Source organism: Homo sapiens, chromosome 11 (genome assembly GCF_000001405.40).
Source record: "Homo sapiens chromosome 11, GRCh38.p14 Primary Assembly".
Classification (NCBI taxonomy): Eukaryota; Metazoa; Chordata; class Mammalia; order Primates; family Hominidae; genus Homo; species Homo sapiens.
Window position 1 is genome coordinate 78,675,929 of NC_000011.10, and position 23,505 is coordinate 78,699,433.

Sequence of the window (23,505 nt, forward strand, 5' to 3'; positions counted from 1 at the left end):
AATTCAACTCAGACCTGTCTAACACCAAAGCCAGTAGTCTTTCCACAAGTAAAAACTAAAAAGACACACAAGGGTCTCTGATCACACATGGTTCCCTGATTTAGTTCTCCCCTTTTGCAGATGAGTGAACTGAGGTCCCAGGGAATTTCAAGAACAGAGCCCCGTTCTCCCGTTCCCCATTCTTTCCCCCCAGGACGCAGCCACCTCCAGAGGCCTCGCTCACCCGCAGCCGGCGCCCAAAGACAGTGACCTGGCCCCGAGCCTGCTCTTTGCGCTGGCGCCACTCCACCAGGTTGAGGCCGTTGTCGATGGGCAGCGTGACATTCCTCTTGCCCACGGTGGGGTTGACGGTGCCAGCCAGCAAGTGGGGCTCAGTCTGCAGCGCCACCTCCATGCCGTTGGCCAGCAGCAGCCGCAAGGAGCCATCGGCCCCGATGTAGTAGCTGTTCCGGACTTGGTCTGCAGGAGAGGACAAGCACAGACTGCTCAGAAGGAACGAAGGTGGAGGGAGGTGTGAGGACAGCAGAGGCGGTGGAGGGGACTTTAAAGGATGCTTTTCCTAACTATGAAAGCAATACATCATCACTGAAGAAAGCGAGGAAAATACATGGAGAAGACCATCCAGATTCTCCATATCCAAAGAAAACCATTGTAAATATTTTGTATGTTTGTAGATTTTAGGATATTTCCAAATGCCCTTACATTACAGTTTAAAATAGGTAAGAGTTTTAAAACAGTTATACAGTTTTTCACTGATCATTGTATTATATCATGTTACTGAATATTTTTCATAAACATTTTTCTTAATGACCATACAATATTCCACTGTATGAAAATACTTTAAGTTATTTAACCAAGCCTCAAATAGATACTCAGTTTGATTCCAGTTTTTCAGAATTATAAGTACCACTGTATATATTTAGTTTAAACATTATTCTAAGTGAAAAAGAAGTCACATGTAAAAGGCTACATATTGTCTGACTCCACTTATATGAAATGTCCAGAATAGGCAAGAATCTCTAGAGACGGTGGTTGCCAAAGGCTGAGGGGCAGGAGGGAACGTGGAGCAGCTGCGAATGGGTATGGGATTTCTCTTTGCGGTGATAAACATGTTCCAGAATCGGATCATAGTGATGATTGCACAGCTTTATAAATATACTAAAAGCCACACAATTGTATGTTTTTAAAGAGTAAATCTTATGCTATGTGAATTATACCTCAAAAATACTTTTTAGATAAATCAATATCCAATATCTTCATTTTAGATTTTCAAATCAAAATAGATTCCTAAAAGTAGGATTACTAGAGAAAAGGGTTGAACTTTTTTTTTTTTTTTTTGGAGACAGGGTCTTGTTCTGTTGCCCAGGCTGTAGTGCAGTAGTACAATGTGATCATAGCTCACTGTAACCTCATACTCCTCGGCCCAAGCAATCCTCCAACCTCAGCCTCCCAAGTAGCTAGGACTATAGGCATGCATCACCACACCCGGCTAATTTTTGAAATATTTTGTAGAGACCAGGTTTCAATATTTGACCAGGCAGGTCTTGAACTCCTGGGCTCAAGCAATCCTTCCACCTTAGCCTCCAAAAGCAATGGGATTACAAGTGTGAGCCACCATACCTGGCAGGTTGAACATTTTTAAGGCTCTTGATACACTCTAAGGTAACAATGTTTTTTATAACAAGGTGAAAAATAACTTTGACACTTAAACCACTGACAGAATGACAAAAAAAAATACATAAATATAAACATATTTTAAATCATTGTCACAGGCATATGACAATGATTTAAATATACATATGATTTGAAATTTTAAATTTGATTTAAAACATTCTAACTTAGATTCTTTTTTTTTTTATTATACTCTAAGTTTTAGGGTACATGTGCACATTGTGCAGGTTAGTTACATATGTATACATGTGCCATGCTGGTGCGCTGCACCCACTAATGTGTCATCTAGCATTAGGTATATCTCCCAATGCTATCCCTCCCCCCTCCCCCGACCCCACCACAGTCCCCAGAGTGTGATATTCCCCTTCCTGTGTCCATGTGATCTCATTGTTCAATTCCCACCTATGAGTGAGAATATGCGGTGTTTGGTTTTTTGTTCTTGCGATAGTTTACTGAGAATGATGGTTTCCAATTTCATCCATGTCCCTACAAAGGATATGAACTCATCATTTTTTATGGCTGCATAGTATTCCATGGTGTATATGTGCCACATTTTCTTAATCCAGTCTATCATTGTTGGACATTTGGGTTGGTTCCAAGTCTTTGCTATTGTGAATAGTGCTGCAATAAACATACGTGTGCATGTGTCTTTATAGCAGCATGATTTATACTCATTTGGGTATATACCCAGTAATGGGATGGCTGGGTCAAATGGTATTTCTAGTTCTAGATCCCTGAGGAATCGCCACACTGACTTCCACAATGGTTGAACTAGTTTACAGTCCCACCAACAGTGTAAAAGTGTTCCTATTTCTCCGCATCCTCTCCAGCACCTGCTGTTTCCTGACTTTTTAATGATTGCCATTCTAACTGGTGTGAGATGATATCTCATAGTGGTTTTGATTTGCATTTCTCTGATGGCCAGTGATGATGAGCATTTCTTCATGTGTTTTTTGGCTGCATAAATGTCTTCTTTTGAGAAGTGTCTGTTCATGTCCTTCGCCCACTTTTTGATGGGGTTGTTTGTTTTTTTCTTGTAAATTTGTTTGAGTTCATTGTAGATTCTGGATATTAGCCCTTTGTCAGATGAGTAGGTTGCGAAAATTTTCTCCCATGTTGTAGGTTGCCTGTTCACTCTGATGGTAGTTTCTTTTGCTGTGCAGAAGCTCTTTAGTTTAATTAGATCCCATTTGTCAATTTTGTCTTTTGTTGCCATTGCTTTTGGTGTTTTGGACATGAAGTCCTTGCCCACGCCTATGTCCTGAATGGTAATGCCTAGGTTTTCTTCTAGGGTTTTTATGGTTTTAGGTTTAACGTTTAAATCTTTAATCCATCTTGAATTGATTTTTGTATAAGGTGTAAGGAAGGGATCCAGTTTCAGCTTTCTACATATGGCTAGCCAGTTTTCCCAGCACCATTTATTAAATAGGGAATCCTTTCCCCATTGCTTGTTTTTCTCAGGTTTGTCAAAGATCAGATAGTTGTAGATATGCGGCATTATTTCTGAGGGCTCTGTTCTGTTCCATTGATCTATATCTCTGTTTTGGTACCAGTACCATGCTGTTTTGGTTACTGTAGCCTTGTAGTATAGTTTGAAGTCAGGTAGTGTGATGCCTCCAGCTTTGTTCTTTTGGCTTAGGATTGACTTGGCGATGCGGGCTCTTTTTTGGTTCCATATGAACTTTAAAGTAGTTTTTTCCAATTCTGTGAAGAAAGTCATTGGTAGCTTGATGGGGATGGCATTGAATCTGTAAATTACCTTGGGCAGTATGGCCATTTTCACGATATTGATTCTTCCTACCCATGAGCATGGAATGTTCTTCCATTTGTTTGTGTCCTCTTTTATTTCCTTGAGCAGTGGTTTGTAGTTCTCCTTGAAGAGGTCCTTCACATCCCTTGTAAGTTGGATTCCTAGGTATTTTATTCTCTTTGAAGCAATTGTGAATGGGAGTTCACCCATGATTTGGCTCTCTGTTTGTCTGTTGTTGGTGTATAAGAATGCTTGTGATTTTTGTACATTGATTTTGTATCCTGAGACTTTGCTGAAGTTGCTTATCAGCTTAAGGAGATTTTGGGCTGAGACGATGGGGTTTTCTAGATAAACAATCATGTCGTCTGCAAACAGGGACAATTTGACTTCCTCTTTTCCTAATTGAATACCCTTTATTTCCTTCTCCTGCCTGATTGCCCTGGCCAGAACTTCCAACACTATGTTGAATAGGAGCGGTGAGAGAGGGCATCCCTGTCTTGTGCCAGTTTTCAAAGGGAATGCTTCCAGTTTTTGCCCATTCAGTATGATATTGGCTGTGGGTTTGTCATAGATAGCTCTTATTATTTTGAAATACGTCCCATCAATACCTAATTTATTGAGAGTTTTTAGCATGAAGGGTTGTTGAATTTTGTCAAAGGCCTTTTCTACATCTATTGAGATAATCATGTGGTTTTTGTCTTTGGCTCTGTTTATATGCTGGATTACATTTATTGATTTGCGTATATTGAACCAGCCTTGCATCCCAGGGATGAAGCCCACTTGATCATGGTGGATAAGCTTTTTGATGTGCTGCTGGATTCGGTTTGCCAGTATTTTATTGAGGATTTTTGCATCAATGTTCATCAAGGATATTGGTCTAAAATTCTCTTTTTTGGTTGTGTCTCTGCCCGGCTTTGGTATCAGAATGATGCTGGCCTCATAAAATGAGTTAGGGAGGATTCCCTCTTTTTCTATTGATTGGAATAGTTTCAGAAGGAATGGTACCAGTTCCTCCTTGTACCTCTGGTAGAATTCGGCTGTGAATCCATCTGGTCCTGGACTCTTTTTGGTTGGTAAACTATTGATTATTGCCACAATTTCAGAGCCTGTTATTGGTCTATTCAGAGATTCAACTTCTTCCTGGTTTAGTCTTGGGAGAGTGTATGTGTCGAGGAATGTATCCATTTCTTCTAGATTTTCTAGTTTATTTGCGTAGAGGTGTTTGTAGTATTCTCTGATGGTAGTTTGTATTTCTGTGGGATCGGTGGTGATATCCCCTTTATCATTTTTTATTGTGTCTATTTGATTCTTCTCTCTTTTTTTCTTTATTAGTCTTGCTAGCGGTCTATCAATTTTGTTGATCCTTTCGAAAAACCAGCTCCTGGATTCATTGATTTTTTGAAGGGTTTTTTGTGTCTCTATTTCCTTCAGTTCTGCTCTGATTTTAGTTATTTCTTGCCTTCTGCTAGCTTTTGAATGTGTTTGCTCTTGCTTTTCTAGTTCTTTTAATTGTGATGTTAGGGTGTCAATTTTGGATCTTTCCTGCTTTCTCTTGTAGGCATTTAGTGCTATAAATTTCCCTCTACACACTGCTTTGAATGCGTCCCAGAGATTCTGGTATGTGGTGTCTTTGTTCTCGTTGGTTTCAAAGAACATCTTTATTTCTGCCTTCATTTCGTTATGTACCCAGTAGTCATTCAGGAGCAGGTTGTTCAGTTTCCATGTAGTTGAGCGGCTTTGAGTGAGATTCTTAATCCTGAGTTCTAGTTTGATTGCACTGTGGTCTGAGAGATAGTTTGTTATAATTTCTGTTCTTTTACATTTGCTGAGGAGAGCTTTACTTCCAACTATGTGGTCAATTTTGGAATAGGTGTGGTGTGGTGCTGAAAAAAATGTATATTCTGTTGATTTGGGGTGGAGAGTTCTGTAGATGTCTATTAGGTCTGCTTGGTGCAGAGCTGAGTTCAATTCCTGGGTATCCTTGTTGACTTTCTGTCTCGTTGATCTGTCTAATGTTGACAGTGGGGTGTTAAAGTCTCCCATTATTAATGTGTGGGAGTCTAAGTCTCTTTGTAGGTCACTGAGGACTTGCTTTATGAATCTGGGTGCTCCTGTATTGGGTGCATAAATATTTAGGATAGTTAGCTCCTCTTGTTGAATTGATCCCTTTACCATTATGTAATGGCCTTCTTTGTCTCTTTTGATCTTTGTTGGTTTAAAGTCTGTTTTATCAGAGACTAGGATTGCAACCCCTGCCTTTTTTTGTTTTCCATTGGCTTGGTAGATCTTCCTCCATCCTTTTATTTTGAGCCTATGTGTGTCTCTGCACGTGAGATGGATTTCCTGAATACAGCACACTGATGGGTCTTGACTCTTTATCCAACTTGCCAGTCTGTGTCTTTTAATTGCAGAATTTAGTCCATTTATATTTAAAGTTAATATTGTTATGTGTGAATTTGATCCTGTCATTATGATGTTAGCTGGCGATTTTGCTCGTTAGTTGATGCAGTTTCTTCCTAGTCTCGATGGTCTTTACATTTTGGCATGATTTTGCAGCGGCTGGTACCGGTTGTTCCTTTCCATGTTTACCGCTTCCTTCAGGAGCTCTTTTAGGGCAGGCCTGGTGGTGACAAAATCTCTCAGCATTTGCTTGTCTATAAAGTATTTTATTTCTCCTTCACTTATGAAGCTTAGTTTGGCTGGATATGAAATTCTGGGTTGAAAATTCTTTTCTTTAAGAATGTTGAATATTGGCCCCCACTCTCTTCTGGCTTGTAGGGTTTCTGCCGAGAGATCCGCTGTTAGTCTGATGGGCTTTCCTTTGAGGGTAACCCGACCTTTCTCTCTGGCTGCCCTTAACATTTTTTCCTTCATTTCAACTTTGGTGAATCTGACAATTATGTGTCTTGGAGTTGCTCTTCTCGAGGAGTATCTTTGTGGCGTTCTCTGTATTTCCTGAATCTGAACGTTGGCCTGCCTTGCTAGATTGGGGAAGTTCTCCTGGATAATATCCTGCAGAGTGTTTTCCAACTTGGTTCCATTCTCCACATCACTTTCAGGTACACCAATCAGACGTAGATTTGGTCTTTTCACATAGTCCCATATTTCTTGGAGGCTTTGCTCATTTCTTTTTATTCTTTTTTCTCTAAACTTCCCTTCTCGCTTCATTTCATTCATTTCATCTTCCATTGCTGATACCCTTTCTTCCAGTTGATCGCATCGGCTCCTGAGGCTTCTGCATTCTTCACGTAGTTCTCGAGCCTTGGTTTTCAGCTCCATCAGCTCCTTTAAGCACTTCTCTGTATTGGTTATTCTAGTTATACATTCTTCTAAATTTTTTTCAAAGTTTTCAACTTCTTTGCCTTTGGTTTGAATGTCCTCCCGTAGCTCAGAGTAATTTGATCGTCTGAAGCCTTCTTCTCTCAGCTCGTCAAAATCATTCTCCATCCAGCTTTGTTCTGTTGCTGGTGAGGAACTGCGTTCCTTTGGAGGAGGAGAGGCGCTCTGCGTTTTAGAGTTTCCAGTTTTTCTGTTCTGTTTTTTCCCCATCTTTGTGGTTTTATCTACTTTTGGTCTTTGATGATGGTGATGTACAGATGGGTTTTCGGTGTAGACGTCCTTTCTGGTTGTTAGTTTTCCTTCTAACAGACAGGACCCTCAGCTGCAGGTCTGTTGGAATACCCTGCCGTGTGAGGTGTCAGTGTGCCCCTGCTGGGGGGTGCCTCCCAGTTAGGCTGCTCGGGGGTCAGGGGTCAGGGACCCACTTGAGGAGGCAGTCTGCCCGTTCTCAGATCTCCAGCTGCGTGCTGGGAGAACCACTGCTCTCTTCAAAGCTGTCAGACAGGGACACTTAAGTCTGCAGAGGTTACTGCTGTCTTTTTGTTTGTCTGTGCCCTGCCCCCAGAGGTGGAGCCTACAGAGGCAGGCAGGCCTCCTTGAGCTGTGGTGGGCTCCACCCAGTTCGAGCTTCGCGGCTGCTTTGTTTACCTAAGCGAGCCTGGGCTATGGCGGGCGCCCCTCCCCCAGCCTCGTTGCCGCCTTGCAGTTTGATCTCAGACTGCTGTGCTAGCAATCAGCGAGATTCCGTGGGCGTAGGACCCTCTGAGCCAGGTGTGGGATATAGTCTCGTGGTGCGCCGTTTCTTAAGCCGGTCTGAAAAGCGCAATATTCGGGTGGGAGTGACCCGATTTTCCAGGTGCGTCCGTCACCCCTTTCTTTGACTCGGAAAGGGAACTCCCTGACCCCTTGCGCTTCCCAGGTGAGGCAATGCCTCGCCCTGCTTCGGCTCGCGCACGGTGCGCGCACACACTGGCCTGCGCCCACTGTCTGGCACTCCCTAGTGAGATGAACCCGGTACCTCAGATGGAAATGCAGAAATCACCCATCTTCTGCGTCGCTCACGCTGGGAGCTGTAGACCGGAGCTGTTCCTATTCGGCCATCTTGGCTCCTCCCTAGATTCTTAACTAAATGAAACTTACGGTGAAAAAAGCAAATTTCAGCTGTAAAATACACATAGAGTTTCTTTCTATAGATGAAAATACTATCTCTGGATTTGTGCTGCACTCTCCTGTCTCTGGCCCTTCCTTGGCTGTTTCCTCTGCACTGCCCCCGTCTTCAGTAAGTGCTGGCTTAAGACTCCCTCCAGGCTCTGCTAAAATGTCATCTCTTTCCAGAAGCTTCCCCTGTTCCACTGGCCAGAATGTATGACTCCCTGTCCTGTACACCCCTCAGCCTTTCTATGGGCCTCCTCAGTGGTCTTGCAGCTGAGGGGTGTGGGAGTCACTGCTCCGTTAATGAACAAATTCTCCAATATTTGAGTGCGTGCTGTGAGAGGCACTATGGCACAGAGATTAGGAGCTTGGCTTTGCAGCCAGGCTACTTCAGCTCAGGTTCCAGCTCTGTGGCTGCCTTGCTGTAAGACCTTGGCCAAATTCTTAACCTTCCATGCCTCTGGTACTTCATCAGTACACTAGGACAATAATTGTACCCTGCTTTGCAGGATGCTCTGAGGATTGAGTGAGATCATGAATATGAAGAGCTGAGAACTGTACTTGGCATATAGTGTTATGTAAATGTTAGCTGTCACTGGTTTTATGTGCCTGGCACTGTGCTAGTCACTGTCATGTGTGTCTCTTGTCTCTCCTCTATCTCCACCATCCCATTTCTCTCTCTCTCACAAACACACATACACACAGACACACACACACACATCATGGTGAACTTCTCTAGTGCTGACCATGGTCCTGGAATAGGGCCCCTTGTCTTTAGATTGGCAGTTAAGAGAATAGGTTCTATAGAGCCTGTTTGCCTGGGTCCAAACACCCAATTAGGTGTGTGACTGGGGCAAGCTACCTAACCTCCGAGTGCTTCTCACTGCCTTCATGCAGAAAACAGAGACAATAATACTTACCTCCTAGGCATATGCGGTACTATATGAGGTACCTTATGAGGTACTGCTTAATGTAAAATGCTGAAAATATGCTTTGCAGTTAATAAGTGCTCCAAAAATGTTAGCTATCATCATCGTTAGGATTATATGTGCTCAGTAAATTTTTGCTGGATGAAACTAGTTATGTTCCAGGCTATGTCAAGAACTAAAGATAGTTATTAAGCAATAGTTTTCATGGGAAACCCTCACTGAATATTTTCTGCTAGAATGGCTTCAAACAGGCCCCCCCCACTCCCTCCTCTCTCCATCTTTCTCTCTCACACATGCAAAAATTCTAAAATCTGCCTCAAACTTGCTATGCATTATTCACTGACAATCTATATTTTTCTGCCTTTGAACAGTGAAAAAGCCTGTGTCAATTTATCCTTTAAAGCTGCTCCTTGCTGAATCCACATATGTCCATTAATGGTGACTTGGAGGGAACAGCATCTGTAGAGGCCCATCTCAGATGATCCCATTTAATGTGGGCTGTGACTTCCCAAGGCCGCTGCTCATTAGCAGCTACTTCTTATTACTTTCCACAGTTTAAACAGAAGATGAAACCGAAAGAGCTTTTCACAGAGACTCTAGTGAGGCAGCTGCAAAACTGAGCATCTGAGCCTGGTACTCAAGAAGGAAAGAGCTTGGCAGAGCTACCAAAGAGGAAAAACAGGTACCATGTTTCCTGGATTCCAAGAAGTGATTTTTCTTTTCATATTTTAATGTTTTTTTGAAATTGGAATGTGTCCACGTATGCCTTTTGAGCAGTATGACTTTTTTCCCTCTGCCTAAAAAGTTATTAAATTGATGAATACATTTAAAAACTGAGGAATGTGGCACTTTCAAATTTTAAAAAGTTGCCCAAATATAAGAAAGCCCACATGAACCTTTGAGAAAAATACTCACAGCCAGTTTAGCAGTATGGAATGGATGGATAATTCTTAATCACAGGGAACAAGACAGGCCTGAAGGACAAGATGTCTGAGTAATTGGTGGTCCTGCAGTCCTTGGTCAGGCAAGATCTTGGCTGCCTCAGAAATTGTACCTTCTCTTGGCAATAATCCAGTCAGAGCATAAATCCCTGGGGTCTGTCCCAACCCACTTGTGATATTATGATTATATATCCACAGTTCCCAGCTCATAACTCCTATACCCCTTCTCATAGTCTTTGGTTCTAATGTTGAGGCACTTCAGGACTCAGAAGCAGGCCTTAGGAAACAATCTCTCTGCCTCTCTCTCTGACCTTCTCCTGCCCTCCTCTCCAAGGCAGGACTCTAATCTGACTGTGGGTCATAAGACGTACTTTCAGAGGGGATCCTGCTCCATACCCTGGAGGAAGGAATGAGTGCTGCACAGAGAGGCCAAGAAGAATCTGAAGAGACAGGCCTTGCTGGGTCCGATCACATTTCTACATGGTTGTCAATCATGCCTATCCAATGAAGGCTTCCTAAAAGGCCCAAGAAGACAGAGTTTGGGGAGCTGAACATACGGAGGTCCATGGAGGGGTGAAGGTGATGTGCCTGGGGAGGGTGTGAAAGCCCCACGCCCCTTACCCTATATCTTGTCATATACATCTCTTCGTCTATACCCTTGGTAATGTCCTTTATGATCAACTGGTAAATGTAAGTATTTCTCTAGTCCTGTGAGCTGTTCCAGTAAATTAACTGAACCCAAAGAAGCAGTCATGAAAATCTCAACTAGAAGCCAGTCAGATAGAAGTTCCAGAGGCCCAGACTTGTGACTGGTGTCTGAAGTATGATAGATGGGGTGGGGTTGGGGGGGCAGTTTTGGGGACTGAGCCCTCAACCGGTGGGATTTGAGGCCATCTCCAGGTAGATAGTGTTGGAATTGAGTTGAAGGACACCCAGCTGGTGTCCACTGCAGAGTTGATTGCTTGCTTCATGGTGGGGAGAACCCCACCTCTGCCTATATTTGGTCACAGAAGTCTTCTGTTGATGACTATTGTGTGAGAACAGACGAAACACTGAGTTTTCCTCAAAAACCACGGTTAAAGGTGCTTGGTGAAGAAGGAATTCCAGCGTGTGGTTTCTCTTTCTTTGAGAACCTTTATTGTTCTTGGAGCTCTTTGAAAGGCAAAGGACTAAATTTGGGAGTAAAAGTGGTTGTAAGAATATACAGACATTTATTTTCTCATGGTAAGTTAAACTGCTTGCTAATTAATTAATTACTTAAGGAATCCAATAGTATTGCTTATTGAGCAATAGTATGTGCTTGGCTCATGCTAGTCACTACACTGTCTAAAGAGATCGACTGAGCAGCCCTGTGGGGCAGGTGTTAAAATTCAGCCCCCTTTCCCAGACCCAGAGACCAAGGCTCAGAGAAGAAGAGTGACCCCAGCCAGTTCACACAGGTGGGAACTGGCATGATGGGCACAGGGCCCCAAATCGCCCACCCAGAACCCCTGCTCTTCTCACTGCTCCACCCCATTCCACACAGCTTCAGCTTGCTTTCTTTTCCTGGAGAAGAAACCAAGGGTCACGGTGGGTGATGTGGTGGCAGAGTCAGAACTAGAACTTGGGCTTCTGACTCTTACCCTGAGGCTCCTTTCACTGCTTCGTGTGAAAGCCTTTGGAGGTACAAAGAGCCATCCAGCGGGCAGGAAAGAATCAGGCAGAGCTTTCCCTGGTGATGGCTTCTTTCTTTTCAAGTTTACTAAATCCCACAAAGCTGCAAGCCCACCTGGGTCACCACATCCCATGAGAACAATTGAGGCAGATAATTAACAGCAAGATTTCATCATTGTGAAATCTTTTTACTTGAAGCTAAAAGACCAACCCGTAACAGGATGATTTGACAAATGCAAAGAAGGGTCTCTTTTCTATGAAATCCTAGAAGAGGCACAAACCTTCTCACCTGGGCTTCAGGAAGGACTTCTCCATAATCAAATCCCTTTCATAATTATGCGTAATTATTTTTGTCCTTTGTCCTCACCTACACCAGTGTGAGTGTGTCTGTTAATCTGGGAGTCATTAGGATGGCAGAATAGCGAGGTCACCTGGATTAGCAGCTAATGAATTCCCTACCCTTTGTTCTGATAACAGGATAGGACAATAAAATATTATTCTTAAGCTTCTGAGAGGGAATTTACTTGACTCAGGCTGGTATATTTTGCAAATTAGGTGATAATACAGAGAGTTGCAATGCTTTCCTGTTCTTGGGCAGCTCCAGCAGCAGCCTATTTCTTGTGCCATCCTCCTCCAAAGGGGTCTTCCCACCCCTCTGCCTCAAAGTCCCCTGGCCCCCACCTGACTTACCTTGCAGCAGTGTGTAGAAGGCGCCTGAGGCAGACAGGTTGGTGGTTATGGTGACATCATCCTTGCTGGAGGTCTCTACCTGGACATGCACTGAACTGTCTGTATCACTTCGGAAACTGCTCACCTGGCCAGTAGGGAAGGTCACATTTGTCAGGCGGCCAAAGCTGTCGTACCTGGAAACCAAGGGGTGGCACTGAGTAGTAGAAATATAATGGTGCTCTAGCTGGAACTTGGTGCATTCTACCTCATGCCATGGTTTTGCTGTGCTCTGCTTTTCTTTCTGGCTGGATACATTCCCATGTCTCCCACATATCTTGCACAGGACCTGGTACATAGATTTCAGGATGTGACTCCACCTGCTGATATCCAGCTGCAGGAAAATAACTGACCTCTCTGAGTCTCCCTTCCCTAACCCAGTGGGGATGATAACACTGACCTGCCTACTGCCCAGGAGTACAGCTATAAACTAGAATTCAATTGTGAGGGGGAGAGATGATGGTGGCCATAATGAGACAGCTGACCCAGAATCTTAGAACTGGGAGACTCCCCAGAAATGATGTAGTCAAGCTTGATGCCTGAATACCCTCTGCAAAACCCGCAAGAACTGGTTATACAGGTTTTTCCTGAAAAACACTAGAAATGGGAGCTATTACCCAGGGGTTTCCTAGGTTTCTACACATCCTGGGAAAAGGGGATTCTGAATTCAAACCAGGACTTAGCTAGATAAATGGTGTCTTGCCTCTTGCAACCCCTTCCATCTAGATTTTACATCTGGCACTAAGCATTTTTGTAACTGCAACTCTTAGAACCCCCACAGCTTTGCTCAGGTATGGTCTTTCTAAAGCATCATAATTGAATCTTAATTCTCTTTACTATTCTCCTGATAATAATAAAAGAAATACCTACCATCATTGAACACCTCCAATATACGAGGCATGGTGCTAGTTGCTTTTCATGCATTTTCATGTAATCCTCATTTAATACATTTTTCATGTAATCCTCATTTAATCCTTGTCTAAAAGGTATGTATTATCTCTTTTTTGGAGAATCAGAAATTGAGGCTTGGAAGAGTGAAGTCACCTGCTCAAGGTCACACAGCTAATTAAGTGTGGGTAGAATCAAAATTCAAACTCAGATCTATTTGCTTCCAAACTGCCACCTGCCTCTCTGTCTTCAATGAACATTTCTGTACCGTCCATTTGCAAGTATTCAACACATGCGCTCCTCCCTGGCAGGAGTGGGCTATTAACATTTTAATTATTGTTTTTAATTAGGGGAGGATGAAGTGTAAAAAGGCAGGCTTAAATAGCCTTTTTGCACTTGTGTGTGAATGGGGACACAGTTCTTCCTCTACATGGCAATATTCCTGACTGACTTGCTGGACACGGTTGCCCCTGTGTACTTCAGGTCTCCCTACTGGCTTTTTTTTTTTAAACTGTTTTGTTTTTACCTCTGGGGTAAAGCTGGCCCCTGGGTTCCTGTGAGGGTTTTCACAATGGGGCAATGAAAGGTCAGAGAGTTCAGCTCTGTCCAGGCTCTTCCTTCAGCTGGGCCTGGCTTCTTGCTGGGATTCCTGGGTCTGCAGCTCCTATGGTATCAGGGGAGACTTGGTGGGTGAGATTAGGCAGGTCTTTGCTCAGGAATTCTCTGCCCAAGGTCAGACTTGGGTGCTGCACTACAGACTCTGCCATTTGCCAACTGTTTCCGTGCCTGAGCCTGGCACAGATCACAGCACTCTACACTGAATCTAACAGTCCCTGGCACACTCTGCCACAGAGGAGGCATTGGTAGAGGTCTTCTGAATATATCACCCCTGTTTTTGTCCTAAGATCAATTCTGGGGGAGGGGCCGGTGGCCTTTGGGGAAGTTGGATGCCTCTGCGGCTGGGGCCTTTTCAGGATGGCAGGCAGTGCTGTGGCCTCGAATACACTCCCTGGGCAGGGCTGCAGGCAAGGCTGTGGCTCTATCAGAGGCTCTCCTGTGGGTGGTTGGGGGCTTCAAAAACCCATGTCCTGCCATGATTTCTCCTTTCTCTTTCTTAGTACGGAGTCAGGTTCTGCCAGGAAAAGGTCAGTCTGGCCTAGGGGAGGCTGAAACCTGGAATGGGTGGTCAAAGGGGTGGACTGCCTCGCAGAGCTAAGTGAGCAGTAGTTCTGAGAGACGGCGGCTAGGAAGGAGGGTGTCTTGGAGTAAAGATCTGAGATGCATGTCCAGAGACTTCTCTCACATGGAGACCCTCTCAGAGCTCTGCTCCCTTCAACTCTGAGAGAGGCTGGGATTCTTTTTAACCATTTGTGGCCACTGGAAATTTGAATAGGAAGGAAACATACAAAAATATTGACAGTGGTTATCTCTGGGAGGTAGAATTACAGGTGATTTGAATTGCTTATTTATGTATATTTCCATGCTTTAAAAATAATAAACATGGATTATTTTCATAATCAGAAAAGTGTTGTGACAAGCAAGGTAAAACCACACGTGAGAGCTCATGAGCATGGCCATCTGGGGAGGCAGATGCCTTAAATTCCAGGCTGTGCATAGGAGTCTCACTTATAGGGCAAGTTGAAGATAACAATTTCCAGGCATTTTCAGCAAAATATTACTAGGGTACTCCAAGTTTTTGAGCTAAAAATCAAGACCCCCAAAACTGGTTTTGCCCTGGTCATCTTAACTGTATCTGTGATTCATGATTAAGCTGGGTCCGGTCAGATCCTGAGTCATCTTTTAAATCAACAGGAAGATCCATTTCAGTCCAGCAGTTTAATGGGATGGGGATGCTGTTCTAGGCTGACTCTTTGAACACCTGTAATCCCTGTACATACTCTTTATTAAAATAAGACTATTCACTTGGACTGTCTATTTTCCTGACCTAACCACATGAAAAAGATTTTATTATACCATGCAAGACACTGCAAAGCCATTTGTGGAGTTTTACAGATAAGAATTGATAGATTGTTAATTAGGAGTCAGATGTCACTTTGACACCACTCCTACCATGGCCTTGCTCAAATGCCACCTCCTAAAGCCCTCCCTGGTTTTTCCTGTCCCTTCTCCCAGTGATATCCTGTGCACAGCTCTGTCCTAGAATGCCTCCCCTGCACTGCAGTGTTGATGTACAAGTCGTCCCCCTCTTTGGACTGTGAGTGCTTGAGGTCAGAACAGGTCTGTGGAGTCTGTGGATTGACACCACCTGGGTTCTGCCACCTGCCAGCAGCGTGACCCTGGAGGACTGGCTCTCAGTTCATCTCTGCTTCACCAGCATTGGAACTGGCATAGAGAGGACCGGCAGGGAATGTTGGCTGAACAAATAAATGAATGCAGGATTGGATGTGCAAGTCCTCTTTCCTGCTTTGTGGGAGAGGAGACACCATGATTCATTCACACATTCCCTCCTACAGGACTTGGCACAAGCTGGACACACAGTAGGTACATGATAAACACTTGCTGAATGCCAAAATATGGAAAAAACAACTCTTACTAAATAACACTTTGGCAATCTCCCTAGGTATCTCACTAGAGTTTTAGTCTTGAAGACAGAAAGAGGCTTTGTATAAAGGCAGACAATTGCAATTATTATTGAAGGTAGCTTGTAAGGCATAATTACATTGATCCTAAAGAAGATACAATGAAAAGGCCCCATACCTTCAAGATCTGGTTTTCATTTTATATGAGAGGGTCAAAAAAACAGTAATTTCCACTCTTCACATTTTCCATTAGAAGGACTGAATGTCTTAATGAAATGAACATCATATAGAGCAACCAATTTATAAAATTTTCTTGTCTCCTATTCATTCATTGTAGTACCTTCCAGAGCTTGGGAAATGACCTGGATCTCTTTGCTGCTTGATTGATACCTGTAATTATCCCACCAGAACTGCTCCTTCTGACTGTGGATGGGAAGAAGTAGGGTTGCCAGTCCTCTGGGCCCCGCACACCTTTGCCCTGTGAGCCACCTCTACAGAACCCTTTCTTCTCCACCACAGAGCTGCCACAACAAAGAGCAGGGACCTGGAAGGGGCAGTTCTCTGAACTCCCTGGGCTCCAAGTGGCTGCCTCAAGTCCCGGCCCCATGATTAGGTGGCATCTGGACAATGGCTTAGTTACATTTGTGACAGTTTTCATTATGGGAACCCACAAAGTACTGGCAAATTTTCTTTCTTTCTAACCAAGAGGAATGAAATGAATAGTTTTTTAAAAAGGTCTCTGGAGCCAGATAGTCTAGGCTTTGCATCCTGGCTCTACACTTGCCAGTAATGTGATCTAGAGGACGGGCACTTGGCTCTGTGTTCCTCCTAACTATCAAGTCTCCACCACAAATGATACAATTTCAGGCAGGCTATATCATATAACCTCGGTGAGCCTCTGTTTTCTCTTCTATAAATGGGGATAATAATCCTGTTTCATAGAGACACATGAAGACCAAAAGAGGTAACCTACTTAAAATGAAAGGGAAACTTCTTCCCAGGGCCCCCAGGACCCCAGGAGATTGCCCTCAGTGGAATGTCAACTCCCTGAGGGCAGGGACTTCATTTGGACCCTGCTGTATCCCTGTAGCTTAGAGTGTGTGGCATATAGCATGTGCTTCCTCGTGTCAATGAATGTTGGCTGAATGTTGGCTCCTTCCTGCCTTTCTTTCTGACTTCACCTGGAACGTCACTCTCAGCACGTCCTTCTTCTCCCTGTATCTGCTTCTGGTCCCCAAACATGCCAAAGTCAGTGCATGCTGGGGTGCTCATGCTTCCCGTTCCCTCTGCGGGAATGCTCTTCCCTCCAGTGTTGGCATGGCTTGTTCCTGTCATCAATCATGTTTCAGATCAAATGTTATCACTTCAGTGAGGTCTTCCCTGACCACCGCTTCTAAGACAGATAAGTCCCCCCAACCTTTGTATCATATTTTCTTATTGACCTCACTATACTTATTATTTATTTGTTCTTTGTTTTCTGTCTCCTCCTAATATAAGCTCCATGAGGACAGAGACCTTGTCTGTATTCTTAGTGCCCAGAGGAGTACCCAGCAGGTAGACAGTACTCAGTACATGTTTACTTAATGAATAAATATATAAGTAAATAATAGATATTATTGTTGATTCAAGACATGGGCTGAGAGCAACGAAGAAATTCATTTGTTTTGCCTTTCCTTGTCCAAATGAGGTGGAGAAAGGTCACTAATATTCATGTGGTACCTTTTAGGTACCAAGCATCATGCTCATCATCATCTTCTGATGTAGGCATTATTATTATCATCATTTCACAAATGGTGAAGAGGAGGCTCAGAGAGGATAAGCAACTTGCCTAAGATCACACAGCTCGTAGAGGAATATAAATTCAAAGTCAGGTCTGTCTAATCTTAAATAATGTGTTTTATTCATCAAGCTTCCCATAAAAATGATGCTGTTTCAAATAAAAATCTTTGGGTTCATCACTGCAGTATATAGAAAACACTGTTTTCCCAAGTCTCAGGTGGGTCAAGAAGACTGGCAGTTGTTTTATTTTCAGGACGCTTTGCTTGCTACCACTGCAATTGACTTTGCAGCGATGCCAAGCCCCCAGTTGGGGGTATGATAGGGATGACCAGATGACTGGCTTTTCATTATTTCCTCCCACTGATTTTTCTTCATTCCATTTATCCAAAGCATCTTTGGAGCACAGTGAAAGAAAACACATAAAACATTCATATAGGCCAGGCGCAGTGACTCACGCCTGTAATCCCAGCACTTTGGGAGGCCAAGGGGGGTGGATCACTTGAGGTCAGGAGTTCGAGACCAGCCTGGCCAACATGGTGAAACTGTGTCTCTACTAGAAATATAAAAATTAGCTACGCACGGTGGCTGGGTGCCTGTAATCCCAGCTACTCGGGAGGCTGAGGCAGGAGATTTGATTGAACCCGGGAGACAGAGGTTGCCGTGAGCCGAGATCGCACCATCGCACTCCAGCCTGGGCGACAGAGTGAGACTCCATCTCAAAAAAAATGATTCATATAGTTGCTGTGAACTTGGCTCTCAGAAGAGGATTGTCAAAGGACATCTTCACACACACTGCAAGGCTTTCTTTTTCACACTCAATACTTCATCTCGAGCCACTTACTATGCATGGCTGGCAAGGAAAACGCCGAATTGCCCTCTGATACTAAACTTTTGCTGATCTTAACTTTTCGGTTAAAAAATAAGATTTGATTTGTATGACTTTCATTTCTGATTGTTTCAAACAACACCATCACCATGTCAGGGAACTGGGCACTGTATTGTCTGTGGATAATTATGGTTCCTGGCCCAGGCACACCAATAGTTCCCCTGGCCCATGTCACTGTAATAGATGTCATCACGACATCATTAGCTACTCCAAAACTGGATCAGAGCCAGAGCACTTTGTGGCTTCTGCATTAAAACCTTGTACTTGCTGTCCATTTCCTACAAAATTAAGTACCCAAAATGAATTCTAGCCCTCAGGATTCCCAAGATCTGGCCCACTCTGCCATACTGTATTTGAGGTGGTGCCTCTGGTGGGAACTGCTTAGGGTTCAGGCAGATCTGGGGCTGAACCCTGGCTTGGCGACTCATGGCTAACATGTCACACAGCCAGTCAGTCTCTGTGCTGGTTATTCTCTGTTCCCCCTACCTCCCAGATCCATTCTCTGTCCTCTCTCTGCCCAGAGCAGCTGACCCCTGCAGACTGTGTCACTGGGGCACTCTGGCTGGCTCACTTCTGGTTAAGCTAAGTCCGTGGTAGGCACGGGCAAGAGACTGGAATTCAGAAGGTTTTCCTCACTCCTCACTCCTTCTTTCCTCCAGTGCCGAATCTCTAACAGTGGCTGCGTGGATCCATGATTTCAGCTTCAACTAGGGGGCTTCTCCTTCATCATTACAGCTCCCACTGGACTTCAGTCATGATATCCTTCAACTTTCCCACCTTGCTCTGCAGCCTGGGGGTTGGTAATGGCTATTCACTGTTTTTAGTGCCTGGGTGCCTCAGCGTCCTTTATTTTTATTTTTAATTAATTAATTAATTTGCTTAGGGACAGGATCTCACTCTGTTGCCCAGGCTGGAGTGCAGTGGTGTGATTATCGATCACTGCACCCTTGAACTCCTGGGCTGAAAAGTGCTCTTCCTGCCTCAACCTCCTGAGTAGCTAGGACTGCAGGTGTGTGCCACTACATCCAGCTAATTAAATTTTTTTTTGGTAGAGATGGGTATTTCTATGTTGCCCAGGCTATTAGCATCCTTTCTAGGTTCCCTTACCCCTCCCTATACCTCTATAACATGTCTTCATTTGAAAGATATTTTTATTGAGTATAATATCTGAGTGGACAATTTTTTTTGTTTGTTTTTGTGAGACAGAGTTTCACTCTTGCTGCCCAGGCTGGAGTGCAATGGCACATCTCAGCTCATTGCAACCTCCGCCTCCTGGATTTAAGTGATTCTCCTGCCTCAGCCTCCCGAGTAGCTGGGACTACAGGTGCGCACCACCATGCCCAGCTAATTTTGTATTTTTAGTAGAGGTGGGGTTTCACCATGTTGGCCAGGCTGGTCTCGAACTCCTGACCTCAGGTGATCCACCTGCCTCGGCCTCCCAAAGTGCTGGGATTACAGGTGTGAGCCACTGCACCTGGCTGTGGACAGTTTTTCTTTTTTTTTTTCTTTCAGCACTTCTGTCTTCTGGCTTGCACAGTTTCTGATGAGAAGTCTGCTGTAATTCTTACCTTTGTTCCTCTTATAAAATGCTTTTTTTTTTTTTCCTGGCTGCTTTTAAGGTTTTCTGTCTCTCCTTTTTAATTCAGCCATTTGAATATATGGCTAGAAATGTGTGTGTGTGTGTGTGTATGTACTTATTCTGCTTGGTGTTTTCTGAGCTTTTTGGATCTGTGGTTTGGTGTCCATTATTAATTATGGGTAATTCTCTGCCATTATTTCCTCAAATATTTCTTCTGCCCTATTTTTTCCCTCTTCTCCTGGAATTCCAATTACATGTATATCAGACTATTGGATGTTGTCCCACAGATCTTGAATGCCATGTTCTGCATTTTCCACTCTTTTTTTTCCTCTCTGTATTTTAGTTTGGGTAATTTCTATTAACCATCTTCTTTCCTCAGCTGTGTCATGCTGTGTCCTCCAGAGAGAGCAGCCCATCAAAGGCATTTCTCATCCTTATAACCGTGGTTTTCATTTCTAACAATTCCATTTGATTCTTTCTTATCGTTTCTGTCTCTCTGCTAAAATTATCCATCTGATCTTGCACATTGTTCGCCTTTTCCATTAGAGCCTTTAAAATAATTATAGTTATTTTAAATTCTCTGACAGATAGTTTCAACACCTGTGTCATACCTGAACGTGATTCTGATGATTTCTTTGCCTCTCGGGAATGTGTTGCCTTTTCTTGCCCTTTTGTACGTTCAGTTGAAAGCGTGACATCTTGTGTAGCATGGTAGAGCCTGAGTGAGTGATAGGTTTATGCCTGGAAATGGGTGTGAGTTTCCTTGTGCTAGGACTTTTGTGAGGGGGTTTGGGTTAACCTAGGATTTGAAGTCTGTTTATGGTTAGCCTCTAGGTATCATAGGTTTTAAATTCCCTTAGCAATTCCCTGTGTTTAGGATGTGAAACTGGTTTGCCAGAGGGTTTTTTTCCCTCAAGGTCCACAGTTCAGCCCTTGGGTCCTCCCTTTGTGCTGACTCAGAGAGGGTCTCTTTCCATGTTCCTGCCGTTCTCTAACTCCCTCCCAGCAGTCTTCTGCCCTTCACTGATGCTTTTAGCCTTCCAGCTAACTATGGTGGTGGCAAAGCCTTTGCTAGGGTTCTGACTCTCAGGTATGTGGGATTTTTTTTTTTCCATTTCTTTTCTTCCCTCATTCAGCTGAAAGGATTTTCCCCAGTGCCTAGGCAGGACAGTGTTCGCTGCCCTTCTCTTCACAGATGAAGGGTGTTGTTCCTGATGGAAGATGAGGTGAGCAGGGTCTGGGTAGAGTGGTCAGGGGTGTATGCTCCTCCCTCAGCAGCTGCTGTGACCTTCCCCCAGGTCGACCACAAAGGACACTTTCTTCTTAAATCTTTCCTCACTCTTTTCTGTGGGAAAACTCCTGGTGGGATTTGTAGAGAAAAAAGTCCCTAAGAAGACATGGACCTGCCCAATTGCTACAGCCTCCAAGGGCTTCAGACTCTCTTGCCAGTACACACTTAGCCTTTGTAAATTCACCAGCCATCCCAGCTGAACTCTTTCTCCCCGGAGCTGGTGCATCTGCCCACAAGCAGCAAGATGTGGTGCAGGGCCCACATCTTGTCTCTTTCTGCAAGACTCTGTCTCTCCTTGGATTTGACCTCAGAGAAGGAGTTCAAGGAAACGCACGAATTTACCTTTTGTCTGGCTTATTTTCATGATAAGGTTGGGCATGATGCACTTTCCAGCTTTCCTATCCCCAAGTAAAAACCAGAGGCCAAATCTCTTCATTTGACCCATTTCAGTTGAGTTCTATGTCCCGTTGGGAGCACTGGCAGTGCTGGTGCTCAGACGTGAATCTAGCATTCTTCTCACTACAGCATATCTTTTCTTCCTGTCTCTATTTCCCTTCCATTCTGAATTTACGTGTCATTATAAAATATTGACTATCTGTCAGCCGACTAGTTGGCAAACCCTAAGCTTGACGCAAAGACAAATTTGTAAGGGTCTCACAGTAGTTAAGGTGAGCATAATTATAATAGGAGTTGTCACAGGGCACTGTGGGAGGCCAGAGCCCCTTCCCCTATGAAATTCAGGGAAGGGGGTTGCTCATATCCATCCAGCAAGTCAATTCTGGAACCTGCCTCATACTTATGAGGCCATTTTCTCAGCCACCAAATGCCATCTGACCAGGAGCTAAGTCTGAGAGTAACGATGCCACACATGGGAGGTGGGGACTGCATTTCAGACTCCTTTGAGCTTCCTACCAGCAGACCTGTGGGCTGAGGGGAGGAAAGTAACCTTGATTCTCCAAAACTGTGAACTCTGTAAATCAAGGTGCTCTGAAGTGTGTGATGTTTATGTTAGGTGTACTATTTAATCTTTTAAGAGAATTGGCAAAGCTGACTTAAAACTTGTTTCAGGCCGGGTGCGGTGGCTCATGCCTGTAATCCCAGCACTTTGGGAGGCCTAGGTGGGCGGATCACTTGAGGTCAGGAGTTTGAGACCAGCCTGGCCAATATAGTGAAACCCCATCTTTACTAAAAATACAAAAATTAGCCGGGCGTCGTGGCAGATGCCTGTAATCCCAGCTATTCAGGAGGCTGAGGCAGGAGAACTGTGGAGGTTGCAGTGAGCCGAGATCGCACCATTGCACTCCAGCCTGGGCAACAGAGCGAGACTCCATTTCAAAAACCAAACCGAACCAAACCAACCAACCAACCAACCAAACAAACAAACAAATAAACAAACAGCTTGTTTCAATAATAGCCTATGTCACAGGCAAGCCTGGGCAATTTTTTTTTTTAGAAAAATAGAACATTTCGGTTATAATCTACTAAACTGCCTCATGAAGCTAAAGGTAGAAAATTCACTAGATTAATGGTTCATTGGCAAAATCTGTCCAAATCCTTGTTAAGAAACACCATAATGAAATATCTGTACACCTCTAATTCTAGACAGCCTCATAGTTTGCAAAGTTTTTTTACTTTCAGTATTTATTTAGTTTTTTAGTCCTCATAATAGCCCAGAAATGGGGTAGGGCAGGGGATTATTTCTGTCTGGTTGAGACTTGGGTCTGGAGGCCAGCTAGCCTGTCCCTGAGTCACATGGCTCGCAGCCAGTGAAAATAGGTGTCTGGCACCCTTGCTTCATTCTCAGCCTGAGCTGGACCATTTTGCCTTGGGTGGCTCTGCGTGTTATTTTCCAGCCGACTTTGGATATTCTCAGGGATCTGACTTCTTTCTTAGTTCATTTCTTGATCTCTCATATTTGATTCTGCTCTTCTCACCTGACCTCTGATTCCTACCTACCTCAATTAAAACTTTTGTCTACTCTTTTGATTAGTTTACTTGCAGTTGCTCCTGGGAAATACCTTTCACACCCAAACAACACTTCTGCAATTACTGGTACTGCCACTAATATTGCTTGCATTAACAACAACAACAACAACAACAACAACTGCAGCAGCTATCATTTGAGTACTTATAATCAATCAGACACTGAGCTTTCCATATTTTATCTCACTGAAATTTTGAACCTCATACTATTCCTATGAAATACATAACTATTGTCATCCCTATCGTACAGATAAGTCACAAAGAATGTAGGTGACCCTAGCCAGTGCAGTTGAAAGAACAGGGACTTGTGTTCTGGTTCTGCTACATACTCACTGTGTGGTTTCAGGCTTGTTATCTAATCTCTCTGTACTTCATATGTAAAAAATGTGGATGATAAT

The 23,505-nt window shown here is 43.8% G+C and overlaps 1 protein-coding gene across 10 annotated transcripts in view; it reads right to left on the reverse strand.

Annotated features, from left to right (window-relative positions):
• TENM4 (teneurin transmembrane protein 4) overlaps window positions 1–23,505 on the reverse strand; it is a 788,202-nt gene that overhangs the window by 23,100 nt on the left and 741,597 nt on the right. For all 10 annotated transcript variants that reach the window (XM_047426739.1, XM_047426737.1, XM_047426736.1 and 7 more), the window contains 2 exons: window positions 12,126–12,298; window positions 224–459 (listed from right to left, as the gene is read on the reverse strand). In XM_047426739.1, the coding sequence (XP_047282695.1) occupies window positions 224–459; window positions 12,126–12,298 (409 nt within the window). The remainder of the gene's footprint in view (window positions 1–223; window positions 460–12,125; window positions 12,299–23,505) is intronic.